General features: G+C 33.7%; 1 protein-coding gene across 3 annotated transcripts in view, besides 3 other annotated features; it reads right to left on the reverse strand.

Annotated features, from left to right (window-relative positions):
* The window catches only part of EYS (eyes shut homolog), a 1987247-nt gene that overhangs the window by 1935074 nt on the left and 26407 nt on the right, over positions 1–25766 (reverse strand). The window lies entirely within an intron of this gene.
* Positions 12843–13012: an enhancer, noted in NCBI's record as "experimental_93370 CRE fragment used in MPRA reporter constructs". NCBI's record gives its function as "activates a minimal promoter by MPRAs in K562 erythroleukemia cells, with activity observed for the introgressed 6:66377874 variant allele {active_cell/tissue: K562}" and the evidence as "EXISTENCE:reporter gene assay evidence [ECO:0000049][PMID:34662402]".
* Positions 12843–13077: a biological region, named in NCBI's record as "Neanderthal introgressed variant-containing enhancers experimental_93370 and experimental_93383".
* Positions 12908–13077: an enhancer, noted in NCBI's record as "experimental_93383 CRE fragment used in MPRA reporter constructs". NCBI's record gives its function as "activates a minimal promoter by MPRAs in K562 erythroleukemia cells, with activity observed for both the introgressed and non-introgressed 6:66377939 variant alleles {active_cell/tissue: K562}" and the evidence as "EXISTENCE:reporter gene assay evidence [ECO:0000049][PMID:34662402]".

Genomic DNA, 25766 nt, shown 5'->3' on the forward strand with positions numbered 1-25766 from the left:
TTCTATTCATAACAGGAATTTGTAGTAACTCAATGCATTTTTATAATTAAAATGTATTATTAATTTTGTGTAATACAAATGAAATTGGATTTAGAGATAAGTTTCTGGATGACATTGAAAACTCAGTATTAGAAAAATTCCAAATAATTTATAGAGAATTCTCAATAATTTATTTAAATACTCTGCCATCAAGTAGATACAGCATAACTGCTCACCACTTAAGTGTGAGATGCATATAGTGACTTCCTTCTAAAGAATATAGTATGAAAATGAGGGGAAAAATAACATCTGTACAATCAAGATACCTGGAAAATACTGCTTTAGTGAGTTAATCAAGGTTAACATCATTAATAAGTTGTTGTTTATAGTATATATAGTATATATACCAATTATAAATATATGTTGATAGTGTATCCCCTTGAAATGGTACAATGAAAATGGCACTTTACCTCTTTATTTTCCTTGAAATAGATAAACCATATCTAGCCATGAGAAAAACCCAGACTTAAGGATTTTTCATAAAATATCTCATCATGTTCCTCAACACTTTTAAAATAGGCCTACTTTGTTTTATTGTGCTTTGCTGATGCTGTGTGTTTTTTTATTTGTTTGTTTGTTTTTTAACAAATTGAAGGGTTGTGTTAACTGTGTCCAGCAAGATGTGACTGAATTGCTGCAATCTTATGATCAAATTTGGAGAGATGAGAGTTGCTTTTTATGGATGAGCAAATAACATGGTTTCTTGAGATGTAATCTATTCCTGGCGAAGATGCTGTGAACAATGTTGAAATAACAGGGATTTAGCATATTACATAAAGTTAGTTGAGAAAGCAGTGGCAGGGTTTGAGAGGATTGACTCTAATTTTGAAAGAAGTACATTGGTGTCATTTTTCCAACACCATGTGCTCACTTCGTGTCTCTGCGTCACATTTTCGTAATTCTCACCATATTTCAGACGTTTTCATTATTATATCTGTTAAGGTGATTAGTGACCTTTGGTGTTACCATTGTAATTGTTTTGGGGCACCACAAACCATGCCCATATAAGATCACAAACCTAATCAACAAATGTATGTATTCTGACTGCTCCACCCACTGGCGATTCCCTCTTTCCTCCCCGTCTCCTCAGTCTCTCTATTCTTTGAGAAACAACAATATTGAAATTATGCCAATTAGAAACTCTACAATAGCCTTTAAATCTTCAAGTGAAAGGAAGAGTAGCACATCTCTCATTTAAAATCAAAAGCTAGAAATGATTATGCTTAGTGAGGAAGGCAGGCTGAAAGCTGAGATAGGTTGAAAGCCAGGCCTCTTGCACCAAACAGTTAACCAAGTTATGAATGCAAAGCGGAAGTTCGTGAGGGAAAGTGCTATTTCAGTGAACGTATGAATGATAAAAACAGGCTTATGGCTGTGTGATCTGGATAAAAGATAAAACCAGCTAAAACATTTGCCCAAGCCAAAGTTTAATCTGTAGCAAGGTTCTAACTCTCTTCAATTACGTGAAGACAGAGAGATGAGGAAGTTACAGAAGAAAAGTTTGAAAGTAACTGGGAAGTCATTACCTCAGATGCTGGAAAAGAAGTTTGAAACTAGCAGATGTTTGTTCATGAGGTTTACAGAAAGGAGTCATTCCTATAATATAAAACTGCAAAGTAGAGCAGCAAGTGCTAATGTAGAAGCTGCAGCAAGTTATTCAGAAGATCTAGCTAAGATAATTGATGAAGATGATTAAGATGAACAATGGATTTTCAATGGAAACAAAACAGTTTAATATGAGAAGAATATCCAAATAGGAATTTCATAGCTAGAGAACAGAAGTCAATGCCTGGTTTCACAGCTTCAAAGGACAGGCTGACTTTCTTGTTAGAGGCTAATGTAGCTGGTGATTTTAAAGTTGAAACTGAATCTCATTTACTATTTTGAACATTTTAGGCCCCTTAAGAATTATGTTCAATCTACTCTGCCTGTCCTCTAGAAATGGAGGAACAAAGCCTCAATGATAGCACATCTGTTTACAGCATGATTTACTGACTATGTTAAGCCCACTCTTGAGACATACTGCTCAGGAAAAGATTTGTTTCAAAATATTACTATTTATAGATAATGCACCTGGTCACTCAAGGGTTCTAACAGAGGTATACAATGGAGAAGCATGTTGCTTTCATGCCTGCTAACAAAATATCCTTCTGTAGCCCATGGATTGAGGAGTGATTTTTACTTTCAAATTTTATTGTTTAAGAAATAAATTTCATAAGGCTACAGATGCCGTAGATCGTGATTTCTCTGAGGGATCTTCCGGAAAAGATTCACCATTCTAAATTCCATTAAGAACATTAGTGTTTCATGGTAGGAAGTCAACATATCAACAATACTAGAAGTTTGGAAAAAGTTGATTCCAAATCTCATAGATGACATTGAGGACCCAAGATTTGAATGGAGGGAGTAACTGCAGATGTGGTAGAAATAGCAAGAGAACTAGAAGTGGGAGAGGAGCTGAAAGATGTGACTGAATTGCTGTAATCTCATGATCAAACTTGAAGAGATGAGAATTGCTTTTTATGGATGAGCAAATAACGTGGTTTCTTGAGATGTAATCTATTCCTGGTGAAGATGCTGTGAACAGCGTTGAAATAACAGGGATTTAGCATATTACATAAAGTTAGTTGAGAAAGCAGTGGCAGGGTTTGAGAGGATTGACTCTAATTTTGAAAGAAGTTCTACTGTGGGTAAAATGTTATCAAATAGCATTGCGTGCTACAGAAAAATCTTTCATGAAAGGAAGTTAATTGATGTATCAAACTTTATTGTTGTCTTATTTTAAGAAATTGTCAAAGATATCCCAACCTTCCTTCATCAGTCAGCAAAAGCCAATATTGAGGCAAGATCCTCCACCAGCACAAACATCATAACTTGCTGGAGAGTCAGATGATCACTGGAATTTTTTAGCAAGAAAGTATTTTTAATTTAAGATATGCACATTGTTTTTTAGGCATAATGTTATTGCACACTTAATAGATTACAGTATAGTGTAAGCATAAGCTTTATATGTGCTGGTAACCAAATAGCTTGTGGGATTTACTTTATTGAGGTTGCCTGGAACTGAACTCACAATATCTATGAGGTATGCCTGTATTATCAAAAGCAAGGAAAGTCTGAGAAACTGTCACAGTCTATATGAGCTCAAGGAGATAAGACCACCAAATGTAAAATAATGTCCTATATAGGACCCTATAACAGAAAAATGAAATGACATAAAAACTATAAAAATCTGAAAACTGTATGGACTTTTGTTAATCATAATGTATCAATATCAGTTCATTAGTTGCAACAGATGTATCATGGGGAAACTAGGTGTGAAATTTAAGAGAAGACTAATATTCCTGCAACTCTTCCATAAACTTAAAACTATTATAAAATGAAAAGTTTATTTCTTTAAAAACTTAGATTAGTAAAATATAGTTAAAATATTAATAAACTCCCTGAAAACTATGAATAATGATAACTATGACTAACATGATTGTATTTTGAGTGATCAATCTACTCAGATATTCAGTATATTTCAAATTTAATGTTTGCTTAATGGAAACATACTTAAAAGTAAAACATTGCCCAGAAGTAAATGAGGAAAGTTAAATTTTAAATTATGATACACATGTAACATATATGGAATTGAACTGCAGCCTTTCCTAACTTTATATGGAGCATCTCCACCTCCCTACTTGCCAATTCCAACACTAACCCAACTCTAAGCACACTGGCAAATCATATTGTGTTTACAGATATTGTCTTGGGATGGGGATAAAGGAAAGAATACATTGTATCTCATATAGCAAGCATTATAAAAATGATCTTTAAACCTTTTTTTTCTTTTTTTTAATGAAAGGTCTAGAAGGTTTGTTTAGCTTTATTCTCACACTCTCCAGAATCTTTTTCTTTTTCTCTTTTTGAAGACCACATGGGTGCAGCTTTATTCCACTCTTAGTTTATCTAGATCCTATTGTTTTTGTAGTTAATTTAAATCTCTCTTGATTTATTTAATTTATAGCCTTACATATCAATATCCTGGAAGAACTTGAAAATGTTCCTTTAGATTTTTATTTTTAAGAAGGAAAGATAAAAGTATTGCAGATAACTTTTTTAACTTCCTTTATTATTTGCTCTGCCACAAACAACCTATATAATATTCAGTATTTTTTTCCAGGATTAACAAAAGGAAACTTTGTTTTCAACAATTTTTATGGTGCAGGAGTACTATCTGGCAATACAAGTTTATTTGAAACAGAACTGCATGACACTCACATATTAAGCACTTTATGAAGGAAAACCGTAAGAAAATATCCTAGAAAGTAAAATGTTGGAATATAAAATAAGGAATCCTATGCTAAATCTCTGCCTTTGGTGATTTCAATGATTGAGACCAAACTCAGATTTCCATCAAGATTCGTAAAACTTATCCTGCCATTGTTGAATTCACTACTGGAGTATATATACTGTTCCTGGTCAATTTTTAGAAACACCTGAGCTGATAAAAGTTAAAAGAATCACGAGGAGAACTGGAAATACTGACTTATAGGAGATAATAAATATCCTTAGATTCATATACTATGAAAAAATGTTTTGCTGTCTTCTTAGCTGCTATGCTTTCTATTTCTTTTTTTTGACACACAAACATTAGAATTTTCAAACAAATTTACTAATTTTATGAACTTACTATTTTATTTATTTATTATTCTATGTACAGTATTCCATTACTATACAATGAAGAGTATATTTTCTTTCATTTTTAGGTGGTTAATAAAATAATTCACACAAGGTTATGGCTAATCAAATTATTGTAGTCAAGAAGTCAGAATTGCAGATAACAGCTCTTGGAAGTCCACCCCTAAGTATGGAGGGTGTTCATGAGTTTAAGAGAAATTTTCGTGAACTGACTAGTCACATAAACTGGTTTCTACTATAGTTGGGGACAGGACTGGCTGTATAAATGACAGGGTATAGTGCAAAATGAAGATAAGGGGCTGCTTATTAAAAATTTATTCAGAATTTTAAAATGGTGTCAAAAGATCATGAAACCAACAGCAAGAACCTTTTGAGCATTGAGTCCTGTGCAAATGTAAAAAATCATGAAGCTGGTCCTGCATAGGGGTAGTGAGAATTAGGGAATAAATACTATTTTCCTTTTGGTAACTTAGTGATCCCCTGTTTTAAGTATGAATCCATAATCTTAAACTATTTTCTCTTCTTTGGTATACCATTGCATGTACTATCTCTCCTTTTAAGCTTTTCTGCTTTTCTCTTGTATTTATTTAATTTATAAACCTTCAAATAAATGAAATATGATGAGGGGACAGTTCCTCATGTAGCACTTAGTCATAGGTAAGGAGTGGAAAAGCGCTTCATGGCACTTTATTTTAATGTTTAATTTATATAACTATACGCCTTTTTGAAACCTGTAAGGACAAACAATTGAACATCTAAAGACAGATATCCATATGTACTGTAATTTCCTGAATTCTACATTTTTGGGAAAAAAGATGTTCTTCTATGGTAAGGGAAATATATGTATACTCACACAAACACACTCACACGCAATTATATATTTTTAGTACCCTATTACGTTTGAATATAACATGAAATAACAGACATATGCAATGCTTACGGAAAATTGATATATTAACTTTCTGATACTGTGATCACCTTAATTTCTTGATAATTCATTTTATTTGCATGTGAAGCTTTGTAAACTTATATTTTGAAATTGAAAGAGTCAATTAGAAAGCACCTCAGGACTCATAGTGTCCTTCTTTTATTGCTTTGTAACACACTGCTTTTATGTAATTGCTTTAATACTCTACTATGTAGCACTAGTGTGACAATGATTATTATGATAATGATGATAATAAAAGCGATATTTAATAATATAAATTGTACCTTGAAATAAGCTGTAAGTACAGTCTACAGAGCTTAAATGCTAAATTCTCAAAATAACTCGGTCTATAAGTGGTAGTCTTTTATTTGTTTTTCTGCAGCTCCTAAACACTTTCCAAAATGTATTCAGAAAGTGATTATAATGGAAAGATGGTCTTCCTTACCAAAGGAATGTTTAGATCCTTTCTGAGACCTAGGGACTATATCTCACCTCCAGAGAACCATAGGTTTATATAACCACCATATATGAGACGGTAAAATATTAATTACAACAATAAGCATCTTTTGAGAACTTTTTCCAGGCTATATCAGAAGCAAAAAAGGTTTTGTTTGGTGTTTGTTCTTGCTTTGTTCTATGCCCCTTCCATGTAGTGACCATTATTATACATATCTTGAGGGAACTGAGGCTTAAAAAGATTATATAAATTTAAACAGAGTAAATTTGCACAAGGCTATGCTACAATGTTAAAATACTTTCACAGAACTTTATAACTTACAAAGTATTTTCCTATTTAGCTCAATAATAAACACATAAGGTCACTTAGGCTCCAATAATAATACAATTTTGAATGAATGAGATATTCTTGCCTTATACTTCCATGGAAGAGAAAGGAATTGCATTATACACTATTTCCATGATTTAGTTACAGACATATTGCTATGTGAACAGAAAGGAGGATAAGGCAAATTCTACCTGGAACTTTCGGATGATTTCATGAGTGGTCATTTGTACCACTTCTCCCAAGCAGTTTTAGAATTATATGAGCAAATGTATGAAGATGGTAAAAATCTGTGCCTGCACAAGGAACAATACACAGTCTGGTTTGGTTAGAGAATAGAATACAAAATGGCAGCTATTCTTGGAAAATGCATATTAGGCTGATCTATAAAACTTTGAATTCCTACTTATATGTACAGGATCTTTCTGTGTCAGTTTTGAATGGAGGCATAATGAAAGGATGGAGAGGCAAGAAGGAGGTTACTTAAAAGGCTACAGCTAAGGCAAAGTTAATAATCACCAGAGATTAGACAGTAGGGAAGAAACTGGATGCAAATTCACCACACTCATTTTACTTTTTTTCTGGTCACACCATATTTCTAGACTTCCTTTAAGTAAAGGTTAAGGATAAATTAAGGTTAAGGATAAAAAAAAAGGCAAAAGTAAATAAATTATTTGCAACCTATCATACATATCTAACAACAGAATAAAAAGATAAAAGGTACTGATTCTGAACATTCCCAAAATTTACCACTTAATTTCTGGAAGAGGTTTATCTTCTACTCAAATTTAGTGAAGAGAGAAGGTCACTGTGGCTTAATGAAATGGCTCATCTCCAAGCTAATGTCCAATCTCATATCAGCCAAAGTATGATCACCAGGTTACATTAAGGATGAGCTTGATATATATTTTTTCACTCAAACACCCATCAGCTTTGCAATGCAATATTCTCTCTCAAAGGCAAGGGAGACATCGATGTTAAATAAAAAACAAAAGAATTTAGAACAATCTATTTTGCATTGTTACATACTTATACAATTGCAATTAATATTTGCTTTATTTTAATCTACCATAAAATTGTCTGTAAATGGAATTTCTCCTCAATAAATGAGTGCTCCACATCTTTTGCCCCATCTTTCAGCTCAATAATCCATGCTCAGGGTGGATGTGGAAACCCCGTATTGAAGAAGGCAGCATGTCAAGAACCACAGTGTTGAAATGACTACATGCTCTGTTATAAACACTAAAATTTTAAGGTTTATCTTTAATATCTGCTAGCATTATCTGGAATGCTAAACAGTACTATAGAGAAAAAATAAAAGGGAAGGTGGAAGAAAAATAACAAGTTAGTCAAGGTTGTTATAAAATGTGACGATTTAGATAAACTTAACAAAATTTTACCTCTGGTAAACTAGGATGTTGGCACTATAATACCCAAAATGGGATACATAAGAAAAAATGAATCTACTCTGAAATGTAATGATGATCAGGCTAAGCGTATGTTAGGGTTTAGAGGGAGCGCCCCTAAAATATAAGAAAAATATTTGAAAATAATACTTTGAAACTATTTTTGACAGCTCAAAGAAGCAGCAGCTTCTTTCTTGAAGCAGCAAAGTAATCATACGGGGGTAATCACAATGTTTCTTATGCTCTTATATGCACTCTACAGTTTGGCATTGTTTATCAATTTCATTCTTTCCAGCGATTAGAGCCTCTAAAAATTCATGCTAGTTTAGAAGTATGTCTGTGTTTAGGTATCTAGAGAACAGGAAGAGAGTTCGATATGTTGCTCAGCAGAGAAACCAATTCTAAGAGTATATGGCACAGGAGTCAAACCCTTAGAAAGATTGTTAGAGCCATGAATTGGTATAGGACCACAGGAGACACCATAGAAAAATAAGAGTAGAGTGTCATCAGGCTATAGTCCCATTTACAAAAAGGAAGGCTAATTAGCAAAACTAAATATAGTCAAGAGATAGGAGAAGAAACTTAAAGAAAGGAATTATCACTAGCAAATATAATGAGAATATACCAACTTGGACTTATCCTTACTGGAGGCATCAGGGAAACCAAATGGGTTCATTGGCCAAAGTGGGCAGAAAGATAGCTTTGAAATGCATCTGTCATGGTTTGGATCATGGTACAAAAGCAAGTTAAACTTATGTAGATACATCATTAGTAGATAAAATCTTTATTTATTTATTTATTTATTTTTTGAGACGGAGTCTCGCTCTCTTGCCCAGGCTGGAGTGCAGTGGCACGATCTCAGCTCACTGCAAGCTCCGCCTCCCGGGTTCAGGCCATTTCCTGCCTCAGCCTCCCTAGTAGCTGGGACTACGGGCGCCCGCCACCACGCCCAGCTAATTTTTTGTTTTTTCTTTTCTTTTTTTTTTTTTTTTTTTTTTGAGACCGGAGTCTTGCTCTGTCATCCAGGCTGGAGTGTAGTGGCGCAATCTCGGATCACTGCAAGCTCCGCCTCACGGGTTCAGGCCATTCTCCTGCCTCAGTCCCCAGAATAGCTGGGACTACAGGTGCGGCCACCACGCCCGGCTAATTTTTTGTATTTTTAGTGGAGACGGGGTTTCACCGTGTTAGCCGTGATGGTCTCCATCTCCTGACCTCGTGATCCGCCTGCCTCGGCCTCCCAAAGTGCCGGGATTACAGGCATGAGCCACCGCGCCCGGCCCATAAATTTTTATATATTTCAACCAAAATTAGAAAAACAGAATAATAATAGTGAAAGAACCAGAAAGTGACAATCTTCACCAAACGTTCAGTCTCAAATGGTATGGGCAAAAGCACACCATGCACACAGAAGAAAGGGCAGACTGAGATGAATGTGGGTCATTAGGGTTCAAGAAGTGTTATGGAAATGAAGGGAGTAAAGAAAAGAAGAACATCAATCCAGGATACAAAACCCATGGATAACTTCAGACAATGCATTTTTACAGCTGTGAATATTTTAATATGATAGCTAAGTAAAGCAAACATATTAAAGAAAGTTGAAGAGAGGAGTTACAAAAGAAGTATTGTCTAGAGGAGTCAGAGGGAAATATAATTTGATAGAGAAAAGAAGACAATGGCATTAATAAGCACTTAGTATATATGAGAAAGTTGCTAGAGAGGATGGTGGGCAGAGGAGAAGGATTCTCTGGGTTCAATATGAAATTTCTCCACTTATAAATTATTTCACCTTAGGGAAGTTATTCATTTTTAATATGCTCACAAATAAACAGGATAATAATTTGTTTTCATATTATTTCTTTCAGAGGGAGTAAACAGAGATCCTTTTAATAATTATGATGTGACAACAGGTGCAAAACTTAGACAAACTAAGGTATCTGATCACCATATTTACTAGGCAAAATATTGAGGTTAAAAGAATTTGTGCTTTGTTTTTTCTTTTCAGTTTTCAACGTTCTCATCCCAGTAGATAACAAAAGGTCTGTGACAAGATGGGACATAGCAATTCTGTCTCTGTGATCTGCCCATCAGGAAAAGAGCTCTTAATAATCCAGGCTAACCTTTTCTGCAGTTAAATGTACCCAGTTTCCTCCTTCAGTGGTATGATCTTAGACATCAGCTTTCTTTGAGGGAAATCTTCATAGAGACATTGAGAGAAATCTTTACAATCTAAAATTACATAATGGAATAGGTCTGTGGTTATAGTTCAGTTTTAACTAGGGACATACAAGTCATAATGTCTTAACTTCAAATATCGAAAATCCATAAGAATTTAAGGTATGAGAACTGAAGGACAGAAAAGGCAGTCTTATTTGTGCTATGAGATGTTCTTAAATCCCTCACATAATTGCACCAGGAAGTATACTTTCTTTCTTCATTTATCTCTTAAAGCTCGGTCTTAAGACGAAGGGGCTAAAGGCCTGAGTTTCAATTTATATTTGTTTCATAATAGCAGTGACCCCTCAAGAAATGGCCACTAAACTGTGGGAAACGATGAATTCCTACACAGTAAAATAGATTATTTTCTTAAAAATGGCACAAGGTTTTATGAGAATTACAGCAGAAACATTGCTTAGCATCATGCATGGCATGTACTAAATATTCAGTCTATGCTACTTAGGTATCCTTGATGTTATAATATGAAATTGTGGATATTTGTAAATATGCAGTCTCCTAATACATAGTTGTAAAAATGTGTGAAGGTGTCCAGTGAGCAATTAATAGATTCTTAAATAATATTCCATTCTTACCCTTCATGATTTGTATGGAAGATTTAGAGAATGAAACAAAACTCTGGGATCTGTACCTTTTAACTGAAACAACCACCAGAACTAAATTTACATAACCATGATAAATAAATCTCTAAATAAGATAAGTATGGATAAACTTTGTAAACTTTCTCTTTTTAAGATACAAACAACAATAATAGTGTGGGTTATTTCTTCATAAATCATATACACTCCCAGTTATTTGTGTCAAACTTCTCTCTTGTGCCTGATGGTTTCCAATTCAAAACATGGTAATATTTTTCCAGTATTCAAAGGAAGTTCTGATTTGTCAGTACATAGAACTTACCATCTCCAGGCATACGTATTGATGGAATGTAAGTTAACAATTCAAATCTTTTTTTTTTTTTACATTGGGTGGTAATTTGGATTTATGTTTCTTTAAAACTAAGTCATTGGTGTCATGTTCATTTCCCTATAGCTAAGATTCCATCATACTGAACCAGAAAGAAATAGTATGTGTGTACAAAAATGTAAGAAATCAGTACTCCAAGCTATATAATAGGTTGTCAAACATTATTCTCATAAAATATCTATAGACACATTGGCCAATATTTACTTATTTTTTATAGTAATGTAGAAGCAATAGTAGTTAAAAACAGGGACTTTGGAGCCAGAATAATCTGTATTGGCTCCCATCTCCATTTCTTATTTGCTTTGTTCTCTAACAAGTCTCAAAATTTCTTGTCTCAGTTTTCTCAGTTTTAAAATGGGGATAATTATACATATGCTTTACATAGCATATTTAAATTACTAATTACTGTAGTAATTAAATGTTAGCATAACTAAAGTTTATACCTGTCGGGTAGTAAATATTATGTGGTTGTACTAAATAGTAAGCTGTGGTTGTCAATTCTAATATTCTTAATAGTACACACTTCATTGTGTTCTACAGATATTGATTAAATATAATTTTTGAGAAATTTAAATTTTGACTTTTCTCTAACATATTAAAATATTCTAAAATATAGAATTGCTGGGTTCATGAGACTATAGAAACCATATGTGAAAATAAAGTAATATCAGCATCCTATAGACATCTTCTAGAATCATAGAATAAAAAAGGTTCTTTATCTGTTATTTGTATTTCATTTTATTAAGCTAAGAAAGATTAAGGATAAATACTCTTGAAAAATACATAAAAATAATAAAAATTAAAAATAAATAAAAAATACATAAAAAATATAAAAAATAGAAACGTAAATCTACATTGCCACCCAATGTAAAAAAAAAAAAGATTTGAATTGTTAACTTAAATTCCATCAATACATATGCCTGGAGATGGTAAGTTCTAGGTACTAACAAATCAGAACTTCCTTTGAAGAGATTTATTAAGAGATTTGATGAAAGTGATTTTAAAAATGCAAACACAGAATTAATCTCTTGCTCTGACTACTGCCCTATCTCCTAATTTGTTGTTCTACTTCTGTTCTTGCTCTTACTTATTCTATTTTTCCCACAGTAGCCAGAGCAATTTTTGTAAAACATGAAACTGATTATGTGACTGTTCTGCTAAAACTCTTCAAATTCTTCCACTGTGCTTAAAATACAACTAAATTCCTCACCTTTGTTTACAAAACTCATGTAATCTGTTCCTTGCCTAATGCTCTCACTTAAATTCATACCATTCTCTTTCTCACTTATTTGGCTTCACCCATAACTTTCTATTTCTGGAACACATTTATGTTCATTTCCAGCAAAGACACTTTGTAATTGCCATTTCCTCTGACTGGTAAGCATTGGATCTAGATTTTAGCACCATTACCATATTCTTATGATTCAGATCTTAACTCAGTGACGCCTCTTTTCAGAGGACTTTCCCAACTACCAAATCAATTGTTGTTTAAATTCCATTCTTATCACGAATACCCTTATTAATTGTCAGTCACATTACTCTTGTAGCATATTAACATGATTGTTCTCAGAAATTATCTGTTCATTCATCTACCTCTTGATTGCAAGATTGCAAGCTCCTTGAGACCAAAGATTTTGCTGGCATTTTCCACTGGTACATTTTTCCCACCCAGAACAATATTTCCTAAATTACAGTATCACAATACATATTTGTGTAAGCAATGAATAAAAGGACATAAATCAAAAGAGAAGCTTGTTGATATGCTAATATGAAGATGCTGATGTTCAAACAGAATTTTATCAGTAAATTTGGAATAAAAAGTGTTGGAAAAGATATTCAATGGTAATGGGGTGAGTGGTTGATATGTATTGTACAACAGCAACTGAGAAACATTAAGTGTGAATAGAAATATCAGCAAATGCACCATTGAAGTAGTATCAGTAGTACACAAAGCCAATTCATCATGAAATAGTTTACACTCTAACTCTTCCATAAGTTTCATATTTGGCTCTTTCTTTAGATCCCCTTTGCCCACTTTATTTTGGGCTATCATATTTCTTCCTGTTTTCTAATTAGGTGTTGTCTTTATACTGTGAATCTTAGTCTTACTTGAATCAATGATTAGTAGAAATCACTGTTGTGACTAACATGCTTCTTCACATATGTGTTTAAAAGTACCCTAAAATCAATTCATTTAAAGTGAAAGCCTGACTGTTTTTTAAAATATCTTTCAATACTACTTCATTATCACATTAAATAGGCAATAACCTTGCACCTCATTATTTTATATTGGGTCTTGGCTAACTGTGGCTCTTGGACTAAATCCAGCTGGCCAGCTGTTTTTGTAAACATGATTTTATTGAATCACAGCCACACCTATTTATTTATTGTCTATGACTGCTTTCACTCTACAATGACAGGATCATTGCAACAGAGACTGTACAGCCAACAAAACAAAAAAATATGTATTATCTGCCCTTTATCAGAAAGCTTCCTTGTCCCTACTTTAAACCACTGTTTTACAGAGATTAAAAACTATATAAAATTCAAATCATTTTCTTCCATCAGCTTTACTGAGTCATATCTGTCTCTCTCCCTTTCCATACAATATAAAGATTACCTTTCAAGATCTCTTATTAGCCTTTAAACATTGAAGACATTGGCAAACAGACACTACTTTGTTTTCACTAGTTTCTTAATAAAACTGTTAATTGACAAGTTACCTTATTTAGCAGGAAGCCAATAAACCACAGTGTAAATCAGTAGATTACGCTGCTTTAAGCTTTTGAAAAAATGATTAGTCTCACTAAAGGGTTGGGCAATTACTGCCACTGCTAACTAATTTTGTACCTGGAAATAAAGATCTGCAATTTGTTGCCCATAGCTATAGCACACAGCCTGTTGACTTAGTACCTATACAGTTATAAACTATGGATTCTAAGAAAATTTAAATGTATGATGTTTATTTAAGTATATATGGTTATGATGTTATCTAAAGTACATTTATTATGAATTTCTTGGTATATAATCATTCATGCAGATAGGAGGATCTCTCATTTTGCAATAAAACTTTTAATTTTGACCCACACAAGGTAAAGAGATGCTCTTGAGGTACCTGCTTCTAAACTACAGGCGATGAATGTGTGTGTGGACTCATTGGTGAATCCTCATATATAAACAAAGTAGATGATATATTCATGCTAAAAGGAATCTGACTTGGAGCGAAGGCCCTTTTCTAGAGGCATAAGATTTAGTCATACAAAAACACTTAAATAATTTTAAAGGCATCAGACTCTCTGTACAGTAGGGATTATAAAAGACTGAAATTTCCCTTTTGTAATAGGGTTTCTGGCCTCTCTGGCCCTCCAGAAATATTAGGTATAGCTTAAAATCAGAGAAAAATAATACCAATTGCCAGAGAATGCTTTGTCCTTCATGATGTCAATAGCTGTCCCTCACTGGTTGCTCTGATCTCTTCTTTCTGTCAGCTTCTCTTCACCTATACACAGACAACTATGATTTGCAGGCCAGAAATGTAAGAGCTATGCATATTGGTGCCACATTAAATCCATGGTCATCACCATTAAATGAGTCCTTAATATAGCAAGACCACCTTGTTTCATTTTTTCTGTAAACTCCTGTTTCCCTCATTACTATCATTGTGTAAAAACTGTGTGTCAAATAGAGTTATTAACACCCGCACAGTTGGACATATGCGAGTTAACTATGGCTTTGTCACACAGGAATGGCATGATCTGGAAAAAATGGGTTAAACTCTCCATCTCTTAGTTTTTTCTCCTGTAAAATGATGACAATAATGTTTATAACATATACTTGTGATAGCATTAATGGTACATAGCATATAGTTAGTCCTAATAAAAATGATTTATTGTCTCCATCATGCCTCTCTGACTCCTCCTCCTCCTCATTGTTTTTGAACATGTAACCCATATGCTACTCTTTCACCTGAGAAATTAGAACAAATACAACAAGATTAACCCTGCACCTTTCTGTTTCTCCTTTTATCATCTTTCAATGGAGGACTTGGCTTCTTTCTAAGGGCCATTTCTCTCTGTCCTCTAGTTTAGATGCCTTCTAATTGAATGCTATTTACTGTTCAACTACTTGTTATTTTCTTAACATTTCCTTGTAATATAAACACTCTCTCATTAAAAGTCAATTATGGAACCAAAGAACTTCTGTTGCATATCTCCTTTTGCATGGATGGACCTTTTGGTTTCCCTTATCTCTTTGGGTTTAGGGGTGGTAAGGGATTCCCATTGTTGCTAGGCATGAGGTATTTCAACATTCTGTTAAGGTTTCCTCACTCTGTTCACACTTCTGTAAATAGTTATTTCATTGAAATATCATATTAAACTCTGTGTGTGCTACTGTTCTGTGCCAGGACCATGACTGATACAGATGCCTATGATCTTTATGGAGTCAGTAGAAGTGTTAGTCTAAGTTTCTGGGTTAATCATCCAAACTCTATTAATAGCTTATTACATGCCAGATACTGAGAAATTTGAACAATTGATAATGAATGCTAACTTAAGACTAATAAGATCAAACAATCAGACCTTATTTCAAGAAAAAAGCCCTGCTACTTACCTTAGGAACTAATTTCTCTTCTTTTCCAAAATATATGCCATTTCAAATGATCAGTTTACCCTCGACACTAGAATATTTTCTCTTCATCATTCCATATTTAAAAACATTTATTTAACATAAAAAGAGCAAGTTAATTACAATCCTTGTTTCCTTGGCCACAGTTATAGCTATCTCACAGAGGAGAAAACACATTTTATATGAATGGCACCTATATTTCTTTTCACCGAGACACATTTAACAACCCATCTTTTAAAGCACAAAGAAAGGAGAAAACCTTCAGAAATATGTCTTTTCAAATGTTGTTAAACATTGATTTGTCTGATTATTATAACTTGAGATAGTCCTTATTGTAGTAATTGAATACTTAAAATTTAAGAATTTATGCCATGTTATATGTTAATTTTATGCATCCACTTTCTATTTCTCCTGTTCCAGCCTCCCACATCCTAGGACATCTGTGAAGATAACAAAATTGCAAATGCCAGATGGTAGTATGATCATTAAATTAAAATCAGTTCCACTCTTGTTTCAATCATGAAACAGAACGATCAAATTTGTAAATGTTTCTATTTTGGATATTATTTTATTTTACATGAAAACAAAGAGATGTACTTTAAAAACATTACATTGGTAAATTACAGTATTTTTTTCTCTACTAATCTTATTTTGTAAGGTTCTAAAATTTGGTTGACTAACACTTGTGTTCTGCAAATTAGTTTACCTAAAAAGAGGAATAAATAATAATAAACTTTGAACAAAAAAAACTAATATAAAATACTGTTATATTTCACATAACTAATGGAAAAAAAATTCTGACAGGCTTTCTTGACACAAAAATATTAGGAATAAATTTTGTTCCTTGTTGCAGGGTGAAGTAAGGAAGATGGTTGAATAAGTACCAAACCCTCCTCTGAAAGGGACACCAACTCAACAATATGCAAAACATTCTCCTTTGTGAGAAACCCAGAGACCAGCCAAGAGACTCCTATAGCCCAAGTGAGTATCATGCCAGCCACACTGAAGTTGATGGGAAAATTTGTGGCACCCACTTGCCAAAGCCCTGCCCTTAGCTCAGAAATGTGCAATCAGAAGGAAGATCCTAACTCCTCACTTCTCCCTGGGGAGGAAATAGAAGACTGGAACATATGTCTAATGTTCAGATTTGGAGGGAACTAGCTAAGAGACTGATTTCTTCCCTATTTGAATCTAAGTGCTGACAGGAAAGGGTGTCAGATAAGAAACCAGTGGAAACAGAGGCAGCCCTTTGAACTAGCACACACTCAGTTACCATCATCTTTCTCCCCAGCTCAGCATAACAGTTTCACCTGACTTGGCATACTGACAGGAATTTGAATGCTCTAGATGCTTGAGGATACTGAAAACAAACATAAGAGCTCCAGAGGACCTACAGTATAGCAGACAGAAGCTGATTCAACTTGACAGTTTGTCCCTCAGGGGGAAAAGAGAAGAATAAAAGGTGTGTCAAATATTCTGACTTTCGGGAGGAGCTGCCTGAAAAACTGGTTGTTTACTTGCTAGTCTCAGAGCACTAAAGGGAGCTGGCATACTCTAAATGCCTGAGGCCAATGAGGAGAAAAAGAAATGAGTGACTTACAGTAACATCAAAGGATCTTCATTAGTGGAGACAGACACCATAAGAAGGAGGAAATTTCAGCTTCTAAAAAAGGAAACCAGTAAAATCTCCCTAATTAGGAATTTACAAATTCACAGAAAACATTTGAGAGACCCGCAAAATATGTAGCTGGGTCATTTCAAGAAAAACTTTCCCTGTTTGGAGCTGGTCCACAAATACTGGGAGAGGGGGCTACTTTTCAAATGCATAGATCCCAACAAAAAGTAACAAGGCACATGAAGAAACTGTTGTAACCAACAGTTGGGCACATGAGCCAAGCAAAGTATCAAAAAACTATCTCCAGAAATAAGTCCTAAAGAAATGGAGATATATGAATTACTCAACAAAAAATTCAAAATTAACCATTGTAAAGATGCTCAATGAATACAGAAAATAAATACATAAAATGACAACATCAACAAAGACAGAAAATTTTCATGCGAGTCCATGTGAAGAGACCACCAAACAGGCTTTGTGTGGCAATAAAGCTTTTTAATCACCTGGGTGCAGGCGGGCTGAGTCCAAAAAGAGAGTCAGTGAAGGGAGATGGGGTGTGGCCATTTTATAGGATTTGGGTGGGTAGTGGAAAATTACAGTCAAAGGGGGTTGCTCTCTGGCAGCAGGGGCAGGGGTCACAAGGTGCTCAGTGGGGAGCTTCTGAGCCAGGAGAAGGAATTTCACAAGGTAATGTCATCAGTTAAGGCAGGAACCAGCCACTTTCACTTCTTTTGTGATTCTTCAGTTGCTTCAGGCTGTCTGGATGTATACGTGCAGGTCACAGGGGATATGATGGCTTAGCTCGGATCAGAGGCCTGACATTCCTGTCTTTTATATTAATAAGAAAAATAAAACAAAATAGTGTTGAAGTGTTGGAGTGGCGAAAATTTTGGGAGGTGGTATGGAGAGATAATGGGCGATGTTTCTCAGGGCTGCTGTCAGTGGGATTGGGGCAGCGTGGGAACGTAGAGTGGGAGAGATTAAGCCGAAGGAAGATTTTGTGGTAAGAGGCAATATTGTGGGGTTGTTAAAAGAAGCATTTGTCATATACAATGATTGGTGATGGCCTAGATGTGGTTTTGTATGAACTGAGAAACTAAACAGAAGATACAAGGTCTGAATAAGAGAAAGAGAAAAACAGGTATTTAAGGACTAAGAATTGGGAGGACCCAGGACATACACTTAGAGAGTGGCCAAGGGGGTTCAGCGTAAGTTTTTGGGCTCTATCCTTGTCAGAGTTCTCCTTTTTAAGTTGGAGGCTGAGCTTGATGAGGCGTGTTTTTAAAAGACCATTAGTCCATTCTACGTTTCCTGAAGATTGAGGACAGTAAGGTGCATGAAAGTTCCACTGAATACCAAGAGCCTGAGAAACTGCTTGGGTGATTTGATTAATAAAGGCCGGTCTGTTACTGGACTGTATAGAGGTGGGAAGACCAAACTGAGGTATTATGTCTTACAGAAGGGAAGATATAACCGCGGTGGCCTTTTCAGACCCTGTGGGAAAGGCCTCTACCCATACAGTGAAAGTGTCTAACTAGACCAAGAGGCATTTTAGTTTCCTGATATGAGTAAAGTCAATTTGCCAGTCCTGGGCAGGGGCAAATCCCCAAGCTTGATGTGTAGGGAAGGGAGGGGGTGCAAAACTAATAAAAATAAACACACAGAAATTTTGAAACTAAAGAATAAAATTATATAATTAAATAATTCTCTAGAAGAACTCAAAAGCAGGCTTAATTGTGCAGAAGAAAAACAGTGAACTTTTGAAATGACAAGCAAAAAGAAAAAGAATGAAGAGTGAAGAAAGCCTAAAAGACTGATGTGACTCCATCAAGGGAACAAATACACATTATGAGAGTTTTAGAAGGGGAAGAGTTAAAGAGGTAAAACTCTTGTTGGAAGAAATAATGGCAGAAAACTTCCCAAATTGGGGCAAGGAAATGAACAACCACGTTGAAGAAGTCCAGTGGCATAAACTCAAAGAAGACAACAATAAGACACAATGTAATCACATTGTCAGAAATAAAAGACAAAGAGAGGATTTTAAAAGCCAGCACAATATTGCAGTGAGGCGAGATCACACCACTGTATTCCAGCCTGAGTGACAGAGCAAGACTCCGTCTCAAAAAAAAAAAAAAAAAAAAAAAAAAAGCAGCACAATAAAAGTGATTCATTATATACAAGAAATCCTCCATAAAACTAACACAGGATTCCTCAGCAGAAATATTGAAGGCCAGAAGGACTAGAATGACATATTCAAAGTGCTGAAATAAATAAAATTGCCAACCAAGATTACTATATGGAACAAATCTGTCCTTCAAAAATGAAAAAGAAATAAAGACATTTCCAGATTAACAAAAGTTGAGGTAGTTTATAATTATACTTGCCTTACAAAAAATACTAAAGGGAGTCCTTCAATTGTAAACAAAAGAATGCTAGATAGCAACAAAAAAAACATATTAAAGTATACAGCTTGGTAGCAAAGGTAAATATTTAATGAATACAGAATCCTTCAATACTATAATGGTAGCATATGAATCACTTTTAGTTCTGGTGTATAATGAAAGTATTAGTATAAAAATACAACTAAAATAAATTTATACACAATATAAGAAAGTATAATTGTGACAGTAACAGAAAGTGTATGTGTGGAGGAGGAAGTAAATATGTAAAGTTTTTTGTATGCAATTGAAATTATGTGTTATCAGCTTAAAATAGATTGTTATAATTATAAGACGTTTTATGGAAGCCCCATGGTAACTGCAAAGAAAATATCTATAAGAGATATGCAAAAGAAAATAAGAAAGCAATTAAACACTGACAGTATAAAAGTCAATGGGAAGAAAAGACTGCAAGAGAGGAAAAGAGGAACAAGAAAAGCTACAAGATAGACAGAAAACAATGAATAATATGGCAATAATAAGTCTTTATCAATAAATATTTTAAATATAAACAAATTAAAATCCCCAATAAAAAGATACAGAGTAGCTAAACAGATTAAGATAAAAACCAAAACCATGATTTAACTATAAGCACCCTACAAGAGACTCACTTTAGCTTTAAGGATGCACATAGGTTGAAAATGAAAGGATGAAAAAAAGATATTATGTGTAAGTGGTTAGCAAAAGAAGGCAGAGGTAGCCATATTTGTATCAGACAAAATATAATTTAAGTCAAAATCTGTCATAAAACAAAAATAACATCTTAGAATTATAAAAGGGTGAAGTCACTAGGAATGTATACCAAATATATATGCACATAGCACCCAAATATGTAAAGTAAAATAGGCAGAACTGGAGTGAGATAGAGAGTAACATGATGATAGCAGGAAATCCCACACTCCCCTTTTAATTATGGATAGAAAACCAGATAGTTGACCAATAAGGAATAAGAGAGCTTGAACAACACTATAGTCTGATTGAACCCAACTGATACATAGAATCAGTCTACACAAAACCAGTAGAATAAACATTCTTCTCAAGTGTACATATTCTTCTCCAGGTAAGAATACATTGTAGGTTGCAACACAATCTTAAGAAATTTAAAACGATTGAAATCACACCAAGTATCTTTCTTGCACACAACTGAATAAAAATAGAAATCAATACAAGAAGGAGAAGTGGAAAATTTACAATTATATGAAAACTAACACACTACCAATGGATCAAAGACAAAATCGAGGGAAATTAGAATATGTACTGACACAAACAAAAATGAAAACCTAACATACCAAAATTTATGAGCTGTAGCAAAAGCAGCACTAGGAAAGAACTTCATCGTGATAAACACCTACATTATAAAGAAAAGGTATCTCAAATAAACAACCTAACTTTATACCATAAGAAACTAGAAAAAGAAGAACAAAATAAGCCCAAAGTTAGCAGAAGGAAGGAATTTTAATGATTAGAGCAGAAACAAATAGAAAATAGAAAAACAATTTTAAAAATCAACAAAAATAAGAATTGGTTTATTGAAATATCAACAAAATTGACAAAACCTCAGCTAGACTAAGACAAAAAGAGAGAGTATTGAAATAAAATTATAAATTGAGACATTACAACTGATGCCACAGAAATTAAGATTATAAAAGAGTATTACAAAAATTATACGTCTACAAATTGAATAACGTCAAAGAAATGGATCAATTCCCAGACACATACAACCTACTAAGACTAAATCATGAAGAAATAGAAAGTGTTAACAGGCATATATCTAGTAAGAAAATTGAATCAATAAGCAAAAACCTCTCAACAGAAATAAAGTCTAGGACTAGATGGCTTAACTGGTGAATTCTACCAAATATGTAGAGAGGAATTAATGTCAATCTTTTTCCACTTGCTAAAATATTGAAGAGGAGACAATACTTCCAACATCATTTTATGAGGCCAGCCTTATTCTGAGATTAAAGCTAGATTAAAAACACTAGAAAAAAATTGCATACCAATATTCCAGATGAATACAGATGTAAAAATCCTCTGAAATTTCCTAGCAAACCAAATTCAGTAGTATCTTAATAGAATCATATACCATGACCAAGTGGGATTTCTCTCAGGGATGAAGGGACTGTTCAACATAGGAAAATCTATCCATATGATACACCACATTTACAGAATTAAGAGTGAAAACCACCTGATCACCTTCATAGATGTAGAAAAAATTTGACAAAACTCAGCACTGATTATGATTAAAAAAATTAAAAAAACTAGAAATTGAAAAAAAAATCTCAACACGATGAAGGTAAAATATGTAAAGCCCATAGCTTTATCACAGTCATTGGTGAAAAAAAAAAAAAAAAAAAAAAGAAAGAAAGCTTTTCTGGTAAGATCAGGGATAAGGCAAGAATGTGCACTCTTATCACTTCTATTCAACATAGTACCAGAAGTCCTAGCTAGAGAAATTAGGCAAGAGAAAGAAATAAAAGGCAACCAAATCAGAAAGGAAGAAATAAAATCAATTATATTCACATAGGATATGACCTTACATGTAGAAAACACAATAGATCTCATATAAAAACTGTTAGAACTAGTAAATGAATTCGGAAAATTTCCGGGATAAAAAATCAACATATAGAATCAGTTGTGTTTCTACACGTTAACAAAGAACAATTTTGAAAAATAAGTTAAAAACAATACCATTTACAATGACATCAAAAAGAAGAAAAAAATACTTGGGAATTATCTTAACCAAGGGAATAAATGACTATAAAACATTGATGAAAGAAATTAAAGGAGACACAAATAAATGGAAAGATATCCTGTATAAATATTGGAAGCCTTAATATTATTAAAATGTCATTACCACCCAAAGTGATCTATAGGGTTGAGGCAATCCCATCAAAATTCCAATGCCATTTCATTTTTCAGAAATAGACAAAATAATCCTAAAATTCATAAAGAACCACAAAGGACCCCCAATAGCCAGACAGTCTCATGCAATAACAAAGCTAGAGGGCTAACTTCAAAACATACTACAAAGCTACAGTAAGCAAAATAACATGATACAGGCATAAAGGCAGACATATAAACCAATGAAACAAGTTTGAGGGTGCAGAAATAAGCCCATGCACATATAGTCAACTGATCTTCAACAATACACAATGTTGAAAGGATAGTATCTGTGTTAGTCCATTGTTGTGTTGCTGTAAAGGAATAGTGGAGGCTGGGTAATTTATAAAGAAAAGAGTTAGTTGCCAAATGGTTCTGCAGGCTGTACAAGCATGTCTCCAGCATTTGCTTCTGGTGAGGGATTCAGGAAGCTTATAATCATTGTGAAGGGAACGGGAGCCAGCATGTCACATGATGAGAGCGTGAGCAAGGGGATGTGGGGTACCACGCTCTTTTAAACAACTAGATCTCGTGTGAACTCAGAGTGAGAACTCACTCATTATTGCAATAATGGCCATTAATGAGGGATCTGCCCCCATGAGCCAAACATTCCCCACGAAGCCCTATCTCCAACACTGGGGATTACATTTCAACATGAGATCTGGAGGGGACAAACATTAAAATTATATCAGTATCTTCAATAAAAGGTGTTGGGAAAAATTGAATTTTTTTCACATGCCAAAGATATTCAGATGCAATAGAATAAAATTGTATTCTTATCTAACAGCATAAACATAAATTAACTCAAAATAGATTAAAGACTTAACTATAAGACATGAAACTATAAAATTCCCAGAGGAAAACATAGTGGAAAGCTTTATAATGTTGGTGCAGGTCACGATTTTATGAATATGACACAAAAAGCACAGGAAACAAAAGCAAAAACAGACAAGTGAGACTGTGTCAAACTAAAATACTTCAACACAGCAAAGTAAAAAATCAACAGAGTAAAAAGGCAACCTGTAGAATAGAAAACAATATTTGCAAACCATATGTCTAATAAACAAACAGCAATATCCAAATATATGAGGAACTTGTAAAACTCAATAGAAAAAAAGAAATTATCCAATTATAAATGGGCAAAGGACATGAAAATATACATCTCCAAAAAAAAAAAAGACATACAAATGACCCACATCTTCATGAAAAGATGCTAAATCTTTTTAAACAGGAAAAAACAGATCAAAACCACAATGAAATATCAAGTCATCCCTCTTATAGATGGCCGACATCAAAACAAAACAAAACAGAAAATAATCAGTAAGGATGTGATAATAATAATCCTCAGTAATCCTCAATAATCAGAGAGGATGTGAATACATTGAAACCCATATCCCCTCTTGGTGTTACTGTAAAATCGTGCTGGGGCTATAAGAAATAGTGTGAAGATATCTCAAAAATTAAAAATAGAACTACTATATGATCTAGAAATTCTACTCCTACATACTTATCTAAAGTAACTGAAAGCAGGATCTTGGAGAGATACTTGCACTTTCATGCTCACTGCACCTTTATTCACAAAAACCAAGACATGAAAACATAAATGTCCACTGACAGATGAATGTTTAAAAAGTTGCATATATGTGTATGTGTATGTGTGTGCATGTGTGTATGTAAGTGTATGTATAAAATAGAATATTATTCAGCTTTAAAAAAGAAGGAAGTCCTGTCATCTGTAACAACATAAATGACACTTGAGGACATCATGCTAAGTGGAAAAAGCCAATCACCAGGACAGATACTGCATGATTCCACTTTTATGAGTCACCAAAAAATAGTCAAACTCATAGAAGCAGAAAGTAGAATGTTGGTTGCCAGAGTCCGAAGAAATGGGGAAATGAGGAGTTATTGTCTAATAAGTATAGAGTTTCAGTCATACAAGATGAAAATGTTTTAGAAACCTTTTCTACAATAAAGTATATATAGTTAACAACACTGTACTGTATAACTAAAAAACTGTTAATAAGATATATTTCATGTTGTGTGAGATTTTTTCACCACAATAAAAAGTATTCCTTGTTATGACAAATTAAAAACAAGAAAATCACTACAGTATAGTAAAGGAAACTGCATCCTGAAATATTTATGAATTATTTGAGATCATGTTGTAATCTGTTATTAATCTCAAGTCGTACAATAGCAATTTGTTTCTTCTACCAATTTCTCACAAAGTGTGGTCTGCAATAGCCTTCAGTCAGAATAAAAACTCTGGTATCTAAGAACATCTCCAGACCTACTGAATCAGAATTATGGTGGATGGTACACAGGAATCTGTATTTTAAGTATTCTTTCCAGGTGAAAATTATGTACATAAAACTTGTGACGTTGCTTTATATGAAAGCTTATATTCATATATATTATGCGCTCCTAAATTTTCACACACACACACACACACACACACACACAAAGCAAATGTTCTCAATCAATATAAGTTACATTGAAGTTAAATTCATTGTTTGACTTTGACTCTAAGATGTGGGTCACGTATCTTCACTAAACTCTTCTAATCTTACTGATCACACTTGATAATCCATACTAATTTCAGATCTAGAAAATTAAGTAAAACTATTCAAAGTTCCTTAACAATATGAACTAGATTTGAAAGTTCCAACCACTTTCAACATTACATAAGATCCTGATAATCATACTATTTGTTTTCAACCTCAGAAATAGCAAAAAAATTTAATTTTGAAAAGCAAAGAATTGATGGTTTTGAACTTTATTAAAAGCATCATCAGCATTTTATTCATTCTATAGTAAAGAAAATAATATAAGAACTTGAAAGTCTATTAATGACAGTAAAGTAAACTAGTTTATTTTGTTTTCTAAGATTCAAGAAAAATGGATCACTTCTATGGCTAAACTAATATCTTGAAATTCCTTTATTATAGACCTAAAAATGTAAATATGGTTTAAAGACTGCAATTTGTTTAGGTTAGCCCTGTGATTGACTCTGATTTATATGCTGAGTTCAATTTCAGCTTTCTATTATAAATGACCTAATAACAAATATTCTCACAATTCTCTTCCGACAGAGGAGATGTGGGGATTCCTCACCATCAGCAAAGAAGTGATCAATTCTGCAGAAACACCAGCTGGGCTAACTCAA

This window comes from Homo sapiens, chromosome 6 (genome assembly GCF_000001405.40).
Source record: "Homo sapiens chromosome 6, GRCh38.p14 Primary Assembly".
In the NCBI taxonomy this organism is placed as follows: domain Eukaryota; kingdom Metazoa; phylum Chordata; class Mammalia; order Primates; family Hominidae; genus Homo; species Homo sapiens.